The sequence below is a fragment of the Homo sapiens genome, chromosome 18, assembly GCF_000001405.40.
Source record: "Homo sapiens chromosome 18, GRCh38.p14 Primary Assembly".
Classification (NCBI taxonomy): Eukaryota; Metazoa; Chordata; class Mammalia; order Primates; family Hominidae; genus Homo; species Homo sapiens.
In genome coordinates, this window is record NC_000018.10 from 63,388,665 (window position 1) to 63,400,775 (window position 12,111).

Here is a 12,111-nt window from a genome sequence, read left to right on the forward strand (position 1 = left end):
CATTAGTGTCAACAATGGGCACTGTGTTGCTTCACTTGCAACATACAGCACCATCAGGTAGGTATGCCTCTTTATCAACTCTGAAAGTGGCTAAATGGTGCTTCTGTGGCACTAATCAAGTACACTCATTCTGTTTTTCTGCATGTAGTTGACAGTGGACTCAGAAGTCAATTCTCTATTGACATGTTTTATAATTATAGAGTCCTTATAGATTTCTCAGGGTGAGACAAAATGCTTTCAAATATCCAGGGTGTAAGTCATAGAGATGCTTAACAACTATGATCTACTTGCTGGCTCAGAAAATGTCTACCTAAACTTTATAATTACTGGTCAAGAGCCAGAGAAATAGAACATGCCCATTCGGATTCCTTTGAGTATCTGTCCATAAAGAACACACAGCAGTACTGTATAATTCTGAGGCTGATAAACAGGTAAGATGTATAAATTATCTTATCCACAAAGAATTCAGTGTTAGTTTACTAAGTTAGTTCTCAATCCTCACATAAAAGTCATTGAAAAACAGAATTTTCATATATACATTAATAATTTTAATGATTTCTTTGTATCTAACCAATTTAGGTAATATTTTCTTTTACACAGAAGGTCCCAAAATAAAGAATAATACACAGAATACAGTCAATAGGTTATATCAATTTACTTCACATAAGAGCATAATTCAGGCCTTTTCCATTTAATAACAAAAACAATCTGTACAGAAAACCCAAAGGCAACCACATAGCATATGTAAAATGTGCAAATACACTTTAAAATGCAAGTTATTCTATAGCATTTGCAAGATAGAATTTCACTGTAATTAGGGAATCTAGTTCATCCTAACTTAATAGTCTTTTGCATGTATAGACAATGCAATTCTACAAGGCACAACTCAGCGTTGATGCTAAAGTATGAAACACATCCTCAGATTATTTATTTGAAAATATTAAAATAGCATCGTTTATTATTTTTTAATGAGTCATGAGCTCATTTCTAAAGCTTCATAAAGCATTACACTGATAACATATGTGTGGTCAGGACAAACTGTTCCCTGAACTTAAAAGGTGAAGGACAAGACCCCATATTATTATCCTGTATTAAAAAAGGAAATATACATATATGTACACAGACACCCCATATCACAGACAAGAAACTTCCCATAATTCAAAGGGAGACCATTTCCTTATTAGCAAAGGTGCGCATTACAGTATTTCATGACAGTTAAAAATTACACACCTACCACCTGTTTTGGTCAATCTTGCTAAAAAAGACACTGAAATAGACAATTTTCTTCTTTAAGGTAAAGACAATGTCTAATTTAGAAAATCTTCCTCTTGAGATTGCACAGTGAAAGGTATCAGTTAATTAAATATAAAAGCTTACCGTTTTTGTTTTTTTTTGAGACAGAGTTTTATTCAGTCGCCCAGGCTGGAGTGCAATGGCGCTATCTCGGCGCCCAGGCTGGAATGCAGTAGCGCGATCTCAGCTCACTGCAACCTCTGCCTCCCAGGTTCAAGTGATTCTCCCGCCTCAGCCTCCTGAGTAGCTGGGATTACAGACACTCGCCATCATGCCCAGCTAATTTTTGTATTTTTAGTAGAGACGGCATTTCACCATGTTGGCCAGACTGGTCTTGAACTCCTGACCTCAGGTGATCCACCCATCGTAGCCTCCCAAAGTGCTGGGATTACAGGCATAAGCCACCATGCCCAGCCAAAGCTTACGCTTTTAAAGAAATTATTTAAATCTACACAGAAAAAAATATCAACTTATTAAAAACTATTAAGAGCACTGTCTATAATTCAAAATCTTTCAAACCCAATCACAAAGCTCTTTGCTGTTTTATTGCCCATCCCTGAGTAAAGATTCTATCATTTGTAATTTTTTAATAACGTAAATTTTACATTGATAAGAATGATGTTTAACAATTTTTTTGAAAATATAAAATAAACCCTATATCATTTTAGTAAAAAAAAAAGAAAATATAAATGCTCTTTGCAAAGACCACCATTCATAAAAATTGTAAATATTTGTATGTCAATTTCTGACATCCTTTTTACTGGGTAATTTCTGTTTTTATGCCGTTCATATATCGCTCATTTCCTCATAACCTGTTATTTTGTACCTTTTGTTAATAGGAGTATTTAATAAGTAATGGAGGAAAAGTACAATATAAAACCTAATGGAACTCTGAAGTGAGATGTGTATTTCCCTGTGGTAAAAGAGTTTTACTGGAAACAATTAATGCGATCCAAATAGACAAAAATATCTATGAAAGAAAGAATACATATGGTAAGCATCTTCCTTGTCTTTGGCTTAGCCTTCTTGACCAAAATCTTCTGTAAACTTCTTTAATTTCAACAAGTCATGTTCATTGACTGTAGGTTTTGTGTTAGATAGTGACCGCAACATATCCGACTGTCAGGGAAAAAGAAGGGTAGGGAGGATATTAATAATAGAGTTAACAAAATAAAAAACCGTCATATTATCATTATTGCTATGAACTTTAACCTAAGTTTAAATATGAATATTTGCAGTCTGCCATAAGATACTAACGATAAACTCCCTATTCTTTTTTTTTTTTTTTGAGTTGGAGTCTCACTCTGTTGGCTCAGGCTGGAGCGCAGTGGCGTGATCTTGGCTCATTGCAACCTCTGCCTCCCAGGTTCAAGAGATTCTCCTGCCTCAGCCTCCCAAGTAGCTGGGATTACAGGCACCTGAAACCACACCTGGCTAATTTTTGTATTTTTAGTAGAGATGGGGTTTCGTTTTGTTGGTCAGGCTGGTCTCGAACCCCTGACCTCAGGTGATCCGCCTGCCTCTGCCTTGCGAAGTGCTGGGATTACAGGCGTGGGCCCCTGCACCCGGCCCCTATTCTTTCACAGATCTTTCATGATCTTTGATCATGTTATTCCTTTGTGTAGAAACGTATACTTTCTTCCCCTGAACTGATCAAATGGCTCCCCAATACTTATCAGAAGGACAATCCCCTTAGTCTGAGGATCAAGGCCTCCAAAGTATGTTCATGATCTAATTTCTGGCCTTATCTCTTTTTCTTAAACGAGATCAATTTTCCAAGTCAGTATAATTCAAAAGGAAAATATCATTCACTTACACTTAAGTGAAGCAGAATACCATTCTATGAAAAATCTACTAACCAGAATTTTAAAATAATTAGTTACAATTAAGATCGAAATGGTTAGAAAAATATGCTAATATCAGAGATTCATTAAAAAACTAACTTCTAAGCCTAGACTCCTGTAAAAGGATATGAAAAATAATGAAAAGGACCACTCTAAGTTACTAAAAATTCTTCAAAGCTGAACAAAGTACAAAAAATAAAAAATAATACACCAAGGATTAAAACAAAGGGGTTTCTGAGTAACTTCTCAGATAAGCATTATGGTTAGTTCACACACAAATATATGGGTGTATACACATTTACATGTATATCTATGTACCGTGTAAAAGTTTCTCCTCTGGAAGTTACTATTAAACCTGCCATTAAAGGTCTTTGAAGATCTGAAACTGACAGAAAATTTTGAAAACTGAGAATGTTCTTCTGTAAGTAAACAACTTTTCAATCACCCTAAGTTCCCTAAAAATAACATGCCTTGCAAAGTAAGTCTTGTAGATTATTTTAATTCTTCCAATATAAACTATATTAACTGTAATTTTTAAAAATAAAAATAGAACTACAATATTTAAACTTTCTATGGAGCTTTGAGAAGTGAAATAGAAAACACTATAAAAACAATGATACAAGCATTAGTATTTCTGGTTTTTGTTTTTGTTGTTGTTGTTTTTTGAGACAGAGTCTCGCTCTGTTGCCCAGGCTGGAGTGCAGTGGTATGATCTCGGCTCACTGCAACCTCCGCCTCCTGGGTTCAAGCTATTCTCCTGCCTCAGCCTCCCAAGTAGCTGGGACTACACGCACGTGCCACCACGTCTGGCTAACTTTTTGTATTTTTAGTAGAGATGGGGTTTCACCGTGTTGGCCAGGATGGTCTCGATCTCCTGACCTCATGATCCACCCGCCTCGGCCTCCCAAAGTGTTGGGATTACAGGCATGAGCCACCGTACCTGGCCCTATTTTTTGTTTTTTTTTTGGAGACAGAGTCTCGCTCTGTTGCCCAGGCTGGGGTGCGGTTGTGCAATCTCGGCTCACTGCAACCTCTGCCTCCCTGGTTCACGTGATTCTCCTGCCTCAGCTGAGTAGCTGGATTGCAGGTGTGCACCACACTGCCTGGCTAATTTTTGTATTTTTAGGAGAGATGGCATTTCACCATGTTGGCCAGGCCAGTTTCAAACTCCTGGCCTCAAGTGGTCTGCCCGCCTTGGCCTCCCAAAGTGCTGGGATTACAGGTGACTTCTGGTTATTTTAAAAAATCTGAGATGCAGGGGAAAAAAAATATTTCACCAACCCTATTTTTTAGTTAGGTCTTTACAATAATTATACTATATATGAGCATTTTGGAGATATTCTAGCTATAAGACCTGTAAAGTCAGAATCTTGTGCTTTAAAAAATAGCTTTTTCACTTAAAGGTTCCTCTAAACCCAAGAAAATAGTTTAAAAATAATGACTTTTTATATTTTAAGTTCAATTAACTTCATAATTTTTAATGAGTCAACAATATTAAGTAAAATACACCTGTTTATACTAAGATTTTCCAGCAAATCTTATATAACTGAAAATTATGAAGTATAATGTTTTAAAATATTTTCTTAAAAACAAACAAAATTTCAAACCATGGAAACAACTGGCTCCAAAAGTTTATCTCCAGGGACATCCATCCATGTCATTTCAATGGCACCAGGGTCACCTGGAGAGCAAGGTGTTAGCAGATCATCTACAAGATGGTTAGGATCAGCTCGGGAAGGTCCGCGAACCTGAAATAAACAGTAATCTGAAATATGTATTTGAAACAAAATTGAACATTAAGACTTAATCCATTACCAGGAAAGTTAAAATGTATAATAGTTTTGTATGTTTTATTAGAATGTTTACTTTTGGAAAAAAAATTAAGAATATACAACAAAAAGTAGTTATCCCCTGGGTAATGGGATAGATTTTGGTTGCTTTTAGTTTTTTTTTTGAAAGGGCGTCTTGCTCTGTCACCAGGCTGGAGTGAAGTGGCACGATGTCAGCTCACTGCAACCTCCACCTCCTGGGTTCAAGGGATTCTCATCCCTCAGCCTCCCGAGTAGCTAGGATTACAGGCATGTGCCACCACACCCAGCTAATTTTTTTTTATTTTTAGGAGAGACGGGGTTTCACCATGTTGGCCAAGATGGTCTTGATCTCCTGACCTTGTGATCCGCCAGCCTCGGCCTCCCAAAGTGCTGGGATTACAGGTGTGAGCGACTGCACCCAGCTGCTTTTAGTTTTTTTCTTGATGCTTTCTATATTTTGAAATTTCCTACAATAAATTGCTTGTATGATCACACATAGAAGATGAGTTAAAAAAAAAATAGTTACCTGTGGCTTTCTCTTTTTCCCCTCTAGTGCTTAATAAGTGGTAGTAATCTTAAAGACCAAAAACAGATATATTAAAAAATTCTCAGAAGTTGCTCTATAGCTGAGAAACTTCTGTAATATTTGGAACTTTAGTATGAAACTACTGAATCTCTTTCAACAAAAATGCTCTCAAATCTAAGTGCAAAATTGTATGCTAAATGCAGTATCAATGCCATTTTATCATGTACAACTTATTTATAAGTTTTAACAATATCCAGAAAAAGAATCTTTGTGACATAGTCACATGTAAACATTTAGATGGCAATAGTCTGCATCAACTTGGAGGCACTTCTTTTTTTTTTTTTTTGAGACGGAGTCTCGCTTTGTAGCCCAGGCTGGAGGGCAGTGGTGCGATGTCAGCTCACTGCAACTTCCACCTCCAGGGTTCAAGCAATTCTCCTGCCTCAGCCTCCCGAGTAGCTGGGATTATAGGCGCCCGCCCTGACGCCGAGCTAATTTTTGTATTTTTAGTAGAGATGGGGTTTTATCATGATGGCCAGGCTGGTCTCGAACCCCTGACCTTGTGATCCGCCCACCTTGGCCTCCCAAAGTGCTGGGATTACAGGCGTGAGCCACCGCGCCCAGCCAACTTGGGGGCACTTTCACATCTGTTTCACAATAATCGACTTTAAATATTATCTCAGTATTAGTGTAGATGTGAAGAAATACATGCTCTCACCTTATTATGTGTATTTTACTGTCTTTACTCACTAATATTTTAGCTGCATGAGGTCAGGGATTTTTGTCTTTTTTGACTGCTCTACTTTCTGATCTACCACCGGTCCCAGATTAGTATTTTAGAAATAAAATACTAGTAAATGCAAAAAATAAACAGGGAATCTTCTTCTTGTTAACTGAAATAATCAGCTTTAAAAGAAGTAAAGGATGGAGCCGCTGAGAGGTCTGCTGCAGCTGGTGATCCCCAGCTGCAGAGATAAAACTCATCTGGCTGTGTCACCTTCATCCCACTAACAAGGACCTGGCTTCAGCGTCATGTGAGCTCACCCTGGCAGTAATATGCAGAATTGAGTGACAAACTCTCAGTAGGAAAGGACTGAGTTCCTATGCATTTATAGTTTCTAAATGGCAAAGAGAATTTAAGAAAAAACATAATGGCTGTGGCATAAACTTAACAGTACTTCAGTAATGAAATGGCTGAAGAAGGGTGGATGAGTAACATTCCCTACGCATCTGAAGTACCACGACTGGTGTTTTATGAGTATTATATCACTTCATTATTGGAAAGGACTTCAAAATAGCATTATCACATCCCCATTTTAGAAATGATAAAAATGAGCTTTAAAGAAGTAATAGAATTTGCTCAAAAAGGTATAACAAGTAAATGGTGCCAGGCTTCAAATTCAGATTTTAATTCAAGCTTGTTAACTTAAAAAAATCTTATTATGGTACATGATAAATATACGTATGTGACTTAGTCATATTAGTCTTGACATACATTATGAGATTAGGTTTGCTAATAGTTTTTCACATGTATGTTCATGAGTAATACTGGATACTGTTGTTCACAGCAAAAGGGTTGGTCCAGATTACCTAGTTCATTGTTACTCAAACTGGGTATCTCAAGACCACAGCCTTCTTATAAAACTTTATCTCAGCCACAGATGCTTAACTTGTTCTTGCAGACAAAACAGAACACAGGAGGGGCAGGATAGCAGAATGGCTGAGATTTCAGATTTGGAAACACACCTCACCTCCAGGCAAATCACATGTCTGTCCCACTCTAGCTACTGTGTTAGCACCTACGTCCAAGACTAACCACCATTAGGTGGCTGGCTACATGTACCTCTCTTGCTGATTTTTGTGAAGACCAAATGAAATAGTAAGATAAAAGACAGAACACAGTGCCAGGCATGTGAATATTTAAAAGATATTAGCTATTATTATTTTTACTTTATGAGGTATAAATGCACCAGATTCTACTCAAAAATATTCTAGATGTGTCAGAAGCAGCCTTACATCTGTACATTTAAGTTTCTATACTTATATCAAAATAATACACAAATACTTCAAAAATCATTTCATAGGAAAATTTAAAACACATTAGGATGATTAATAAGGCCTTTTCTTTTTTTAAGACAGGGTCTCACTGTGTCACCCAGGCTGGAGTACACTGGTGCAATCTCGGCTCACTGCAACCTCCACCTCCTGGGCTCAAGAGATTCTCCCACTTCAGCCTCCCAAGTAGCTGGGACTACAGGAGTGTGCCACCACATCCAGCTAATTTTTGTATTTTTTACAGAGATGGGGTTTTGCCATGTTGCCTGAGGCTGGTCTCTCCTGAGCTCAAGAGATCTGCCCACCTCGGCCTCCTAAAGTGCTGGGATTACAGGTATGGGGCACTGCACCCAGCCAAAAATGGCCAATAAATAAACTTTATTAAAGAACTTGTTTCAGTGACACAGAAATATGTCTATTATGTAAACCCACTTATGGTATTATTATACAACACTGAAATCCTCCCAAATTCTTTGAAGACAAACCAATGACGGTCTTGAAACTTGATTTTAAAAATACAGGAAAAGGGCCAGGCGCAGTGGCTCACGCCTTTGGGAGGCCGAGGTGGGTGGATCACCTGGAGTCAGGAGTTCGAGACCAGCCTGGCCAACATGGTGAAATCCTGTCTCTACTAAAAATACAAAAAATTAGCCAGGCGTGGTGGCACACGCCTGTAATTCCAGCTACTCAGGAGGCTAAGGCATGAGAATTGCTTGAACCCGGGAGGCGGAGGTTGCAGCAAGCCCAGATAGTGCCACTGCACTCCAGCCTGGGCAACAGAGTGAGACTGTCTCAAAAAAAAAAAAAAAAGATAGGAAAGGATAGATAAAAATGACTTACCTTTTTAAAATGAGTAGCTGACTGTACTTTCCTAACAGGCTGCATAAGGGCATCACGTACAATGATACTTATATCTGCCCCTGAATAACCATCTGTTTTCCTCCCAAGTTCCCGAAAGTCTGCTTCCGTGAGACTGTTCTGAGTGGTCCCTAGGTGCAGTTTAAACATTGCTGCTCGGGCATGGGGTTCCGGCAAGGGAATATAAATTCGTTTCTCAAATCTTAAAAGAGAAATTACATCAAGAATATATTTAATTGAAAATTAGGATATTTCCAAGAAGAAACAGATACTAAGTTAAGTGGGCCTGTATGTGCCAAGGTTAAACATATATATTTAGGTTAAAGGGATAATATCCAGAACACATTAAAAACAAACAAATAAAATCAAAATAGCCTGGGAGCCAGTTTGAAGTGGCTGAATCTTTCGTGCATTTTTGGGTTATTTTGGCCACAGTGTTCCTATGTCTGGAATTCATGAAATAAAAAGAGGTCCTACAGGGTTACAGTTTCCCACAAAATTGTACTCTGAACTCTTGATCAAGGGACTAATGATTAACAATATAAAACAGGAGTAGAGATGACACAGTAATTCTCTACATTCAAAACAGAATTACCTCACAATCTTATAGGATATATATTACACAAAATGTCCACTTTAATGAATACATCCAGAACAATCCTATATTATAAAGAATAAACACTATGTTTCATTAACAATAATTTTGCTTGCTTTCTTAGAATTTCGGTATTTGGAGACAGAGAAGCAACGATGAGGGATAATTTAAGTGGTCTGAGCAGACTGTTTTTTCTCCAGGTAACTCTCTGTGACAATGAAAAGAATTTAAAGTTTCCGTTGCCTCTAGAGATGGGTGCAGAATAAGGCAATTTTTCAAAAATACCCTGCACATTTCCTTTCTTGGTACTGGATGGTAAGCTAGAATGCTGGCGCAAATCATCAAGTGAATGGGATAAAAGTGGCAAAAACTGAAGTGCTAATTTTTACCATACAAAATAAATGAATGTAATACAGAACTGTGAAGAGTGAAAAGTGAAGAGTCCGTATACCTTTCCTAGAACTGAAGTTTCATTTTCAACTTAAAAATTAGATAGATAGATGTGTGTGTGTATACATATATACATATACACATATACATATATACACACACACACACATATATATATATATATATATTTTTTTTTGAGATGGAGTCTCACTCTGTTGCCCAAGCTGGAGTGCAGTGGCACAATCTTGGCTCACTGCAACCTCCGCCTCCTGGGCTCAAGCGATTCTCCCACCTCAGCTTCCCGAGTAGCTGGGACTACAGACAGGTGTGCGCCACCATGGCCAGGTAATTTTTTTGGATTTTAGTAGAGACAGGGTTTCACCACGTTGCCCAGGGTGGTTTTGAACTCCTGAGCTCAGGCAATCTGCCTACCTTGGTTTCCCAAAGTGCTGGGATTACAGGCATGAGCCACCACACCCGGCCTGACATATAGTTTTTACTAAAAAAAAAAAAAATCTTGGCTGGGCACGGTGGCTCACATCTGTAATTCCAGCACTCTCGGAGGCTGAGGCGGGTGGATCATGAGGTCAAGAGATCGAGACCATCCTGGCCACATGATGAAATCTCGTCTCTACTAAAAATATACAAATTAGCTGGGCGTGGTGGTGCATACCTGTAGTCCCAGCTACTTGGGAGGCTGAGGCAGGAGAATCACTTGAACCCGGGAGGTGGAGGATGCAGTGAGCCGAGATCGCACCACCGCACTCCAGCCTGGCAACAGAGTGAGACTCCGACTCAAAAAAAAAAAAAAAATCTTACCTGGTTATCTTATTTTGACTTATAGAATTGCCATTTTGCTAAAATTTTATATAAATGGTTTTTACTGAATTGTCAAACTATGTTTATAAATTTTTGAAGCATCAGTGCCCACCAAACTTAATCAGAATGAAAGGTAAGCATTAGGTAATATATTTTCTAATATGAAAGACAGAAGTGTGTGGAAATCTTGTATATTTGATAAACTAGGGAAACAAACAAGCAAATGACCACCCTTCTCCCACTCAAGGCAGGGGAGCAACAGGGTTAGAGCACATTACAAATCTTTTGAAAAGTTGTTAGAATGCTTCCTGACAAGACAAAAAGAGAATTATCATCTACTTGTTACATCTGCAGTGAGAAATAAGATATTTACTATATTATCCTACCTTCGCCTAATGGCAGAATCCAGAACCCAGGGTATATTTGTAGCTCCCAGAACCAAAATTCCATCATTGTCTACACCAACCCCTGCATTAAAATAGGTAATGCTTTAATTAATTTGTCATTTTGGTGTTCTTTAAACTTCTTCCATATATTCTGTTAAGAAATGTGGTGCTTTACCATTAAAGTGCTTCATCTTGAGAGTCTGTCTTTGGAAAAGAACTGTATTTAATCAAATATCACCTTACGGCAATATGATCCAAATACACTATGATGCAATATGATGCAAATATATGAATCAAATCTCCCAGATTGTGGAAAATACTATTAACATTCGTTTCAAAATATTTCTTGAAAAATTTCATTCGAAGTCTACATATTACTTTTACTGAAGTTGTTCCTGGTACATTATAAATGAATACATTAAATCTCTTTTCTATTTATGTCAGTGAGTCCTACAAGATAATTACAATTGAGTAAAAATTATGTATGCATATGGAAGACAATTGGAATGAAACATGGCAAAATGAAACAGTTTGTTAGAATGGAGAAATTCTGCTTGAATTTTTCATTACTGTTATAAAAATTGTTATAAAATAAACAAAAACGACTTTAAAAATCAGTAACATTAAATTAGCCGGGCATGGTGGTGCGCGCCTGTAATCCCAGCTACTCAGGAGGCTGAGGCATGAGAATTGCTTGAACCTGGGAGGTGGAGGTTGTAGTGAGCTGAGATCGCGCCACTGCACTCCAGCCTGGGCGACAGAGTGAGACTCCGTCTCAAAAAGAAAAAAAAAATTAGTAACACTACCTTGCATTTGCACTAGGAACTCCGTCTTAATTCTACGTGCGGCTTCACTTTCATTTTCACTTCTTGAACCACAGAGAGAATCAATTTCATCAATGAAGATAATGGAGGGCTTGTTCTCTCTGGCAAGTTGGAATAAATTCTTAACCAGTCTAAAAATAAATGAAAACTTTTAAGTCTCTAAAAAATAGTAAAAGATTAAAACAAAGTAATATATCAATATTACAAGAACTCTGTAGATTAAAAAGCCTAATCATGTTTCAGGTACAGAAAATAAGAATGCTACAACTGGATAATTCACTTTATGATTCACTAGGTTGTAGATATATGCTATCTTTTCCCACAAAAGAAATTCTAGATTAGAGACTGATTTGACAGAGAAGTGAGTACCTGTATTACATGACTTCTCTGAATATCTATAAGTGATGTAAGAAATCTATTAAGGAGTGATACAGTAATTACAGGCAAAGAAAAAACTTTAAAAAATTGATTTACTACTTACTTTTCACTTTCACCTAGCCACTTAGAAACAAGATCAGAGGAAGATATTGAAAAAAATGTTGAGTTGTTGGCTTCTGTTGCTACAGCTTTGGCTAAGTAGGACTTTCCTGTTCCAGGCGGCCCAAATAATAGGATTCCCCTCCAAGGTGTTCTCTTGCCTAAAATTTAGATTTAGAAAAATGTCATGAGAATTTTAACACTTAATTGTATCATCTATACTGAGGAATACT

The 12,111-nt window shown here is 37.6% G+C and overlaps 1 protein-coding gene across 2 annotated transcripts in view; it reads right to left on the bottom strand.

Moving 5' to 3' along the window:
• Positions 1 to 525: 525 nt before the first annotated feature.
• The window catches only part of VPS4B (vacuolar protein sorting 4 homolog B), a 33,287-nt gene continuing 21,701 nt past the window's right edge, over positions 526 to 12,111 (bottom strand). For both annotated transcript variants that reach the window (NM_004869.4, XM_047437949.1), the window contains 6 exons: positions 11,883 to 12,039; positions 11,384 to 11,532; positions 10,578 to 10,659; positions 8,370 to 8,589; positions 4,745 to 4,885; positions 526 to 2,412 (listed from right to left, as the gene is read on the bottom strand). In NM_004869.4, coding sequence (NP_004860.2) covers positions 2,311 to 2,412; positions 4,745 to 4,885; positions 8,370 to 8,589; positions 10,578 to 10,659; positions 11,384 to 11,532; positions 11,883 to 12,039 — 851 coding nt within the window. In that variant the 3' untranslated portion in view covers positions 526 to 2,310. The remainder of the gene's footprint in view (positions 2,413 to 4,744; positions 4,886 to 8,369; positions 8,590 to 10,577; positions 10,660 to 11,383; positions 11,533 to 11,882; positions 12,040 to 12,111) is intronic.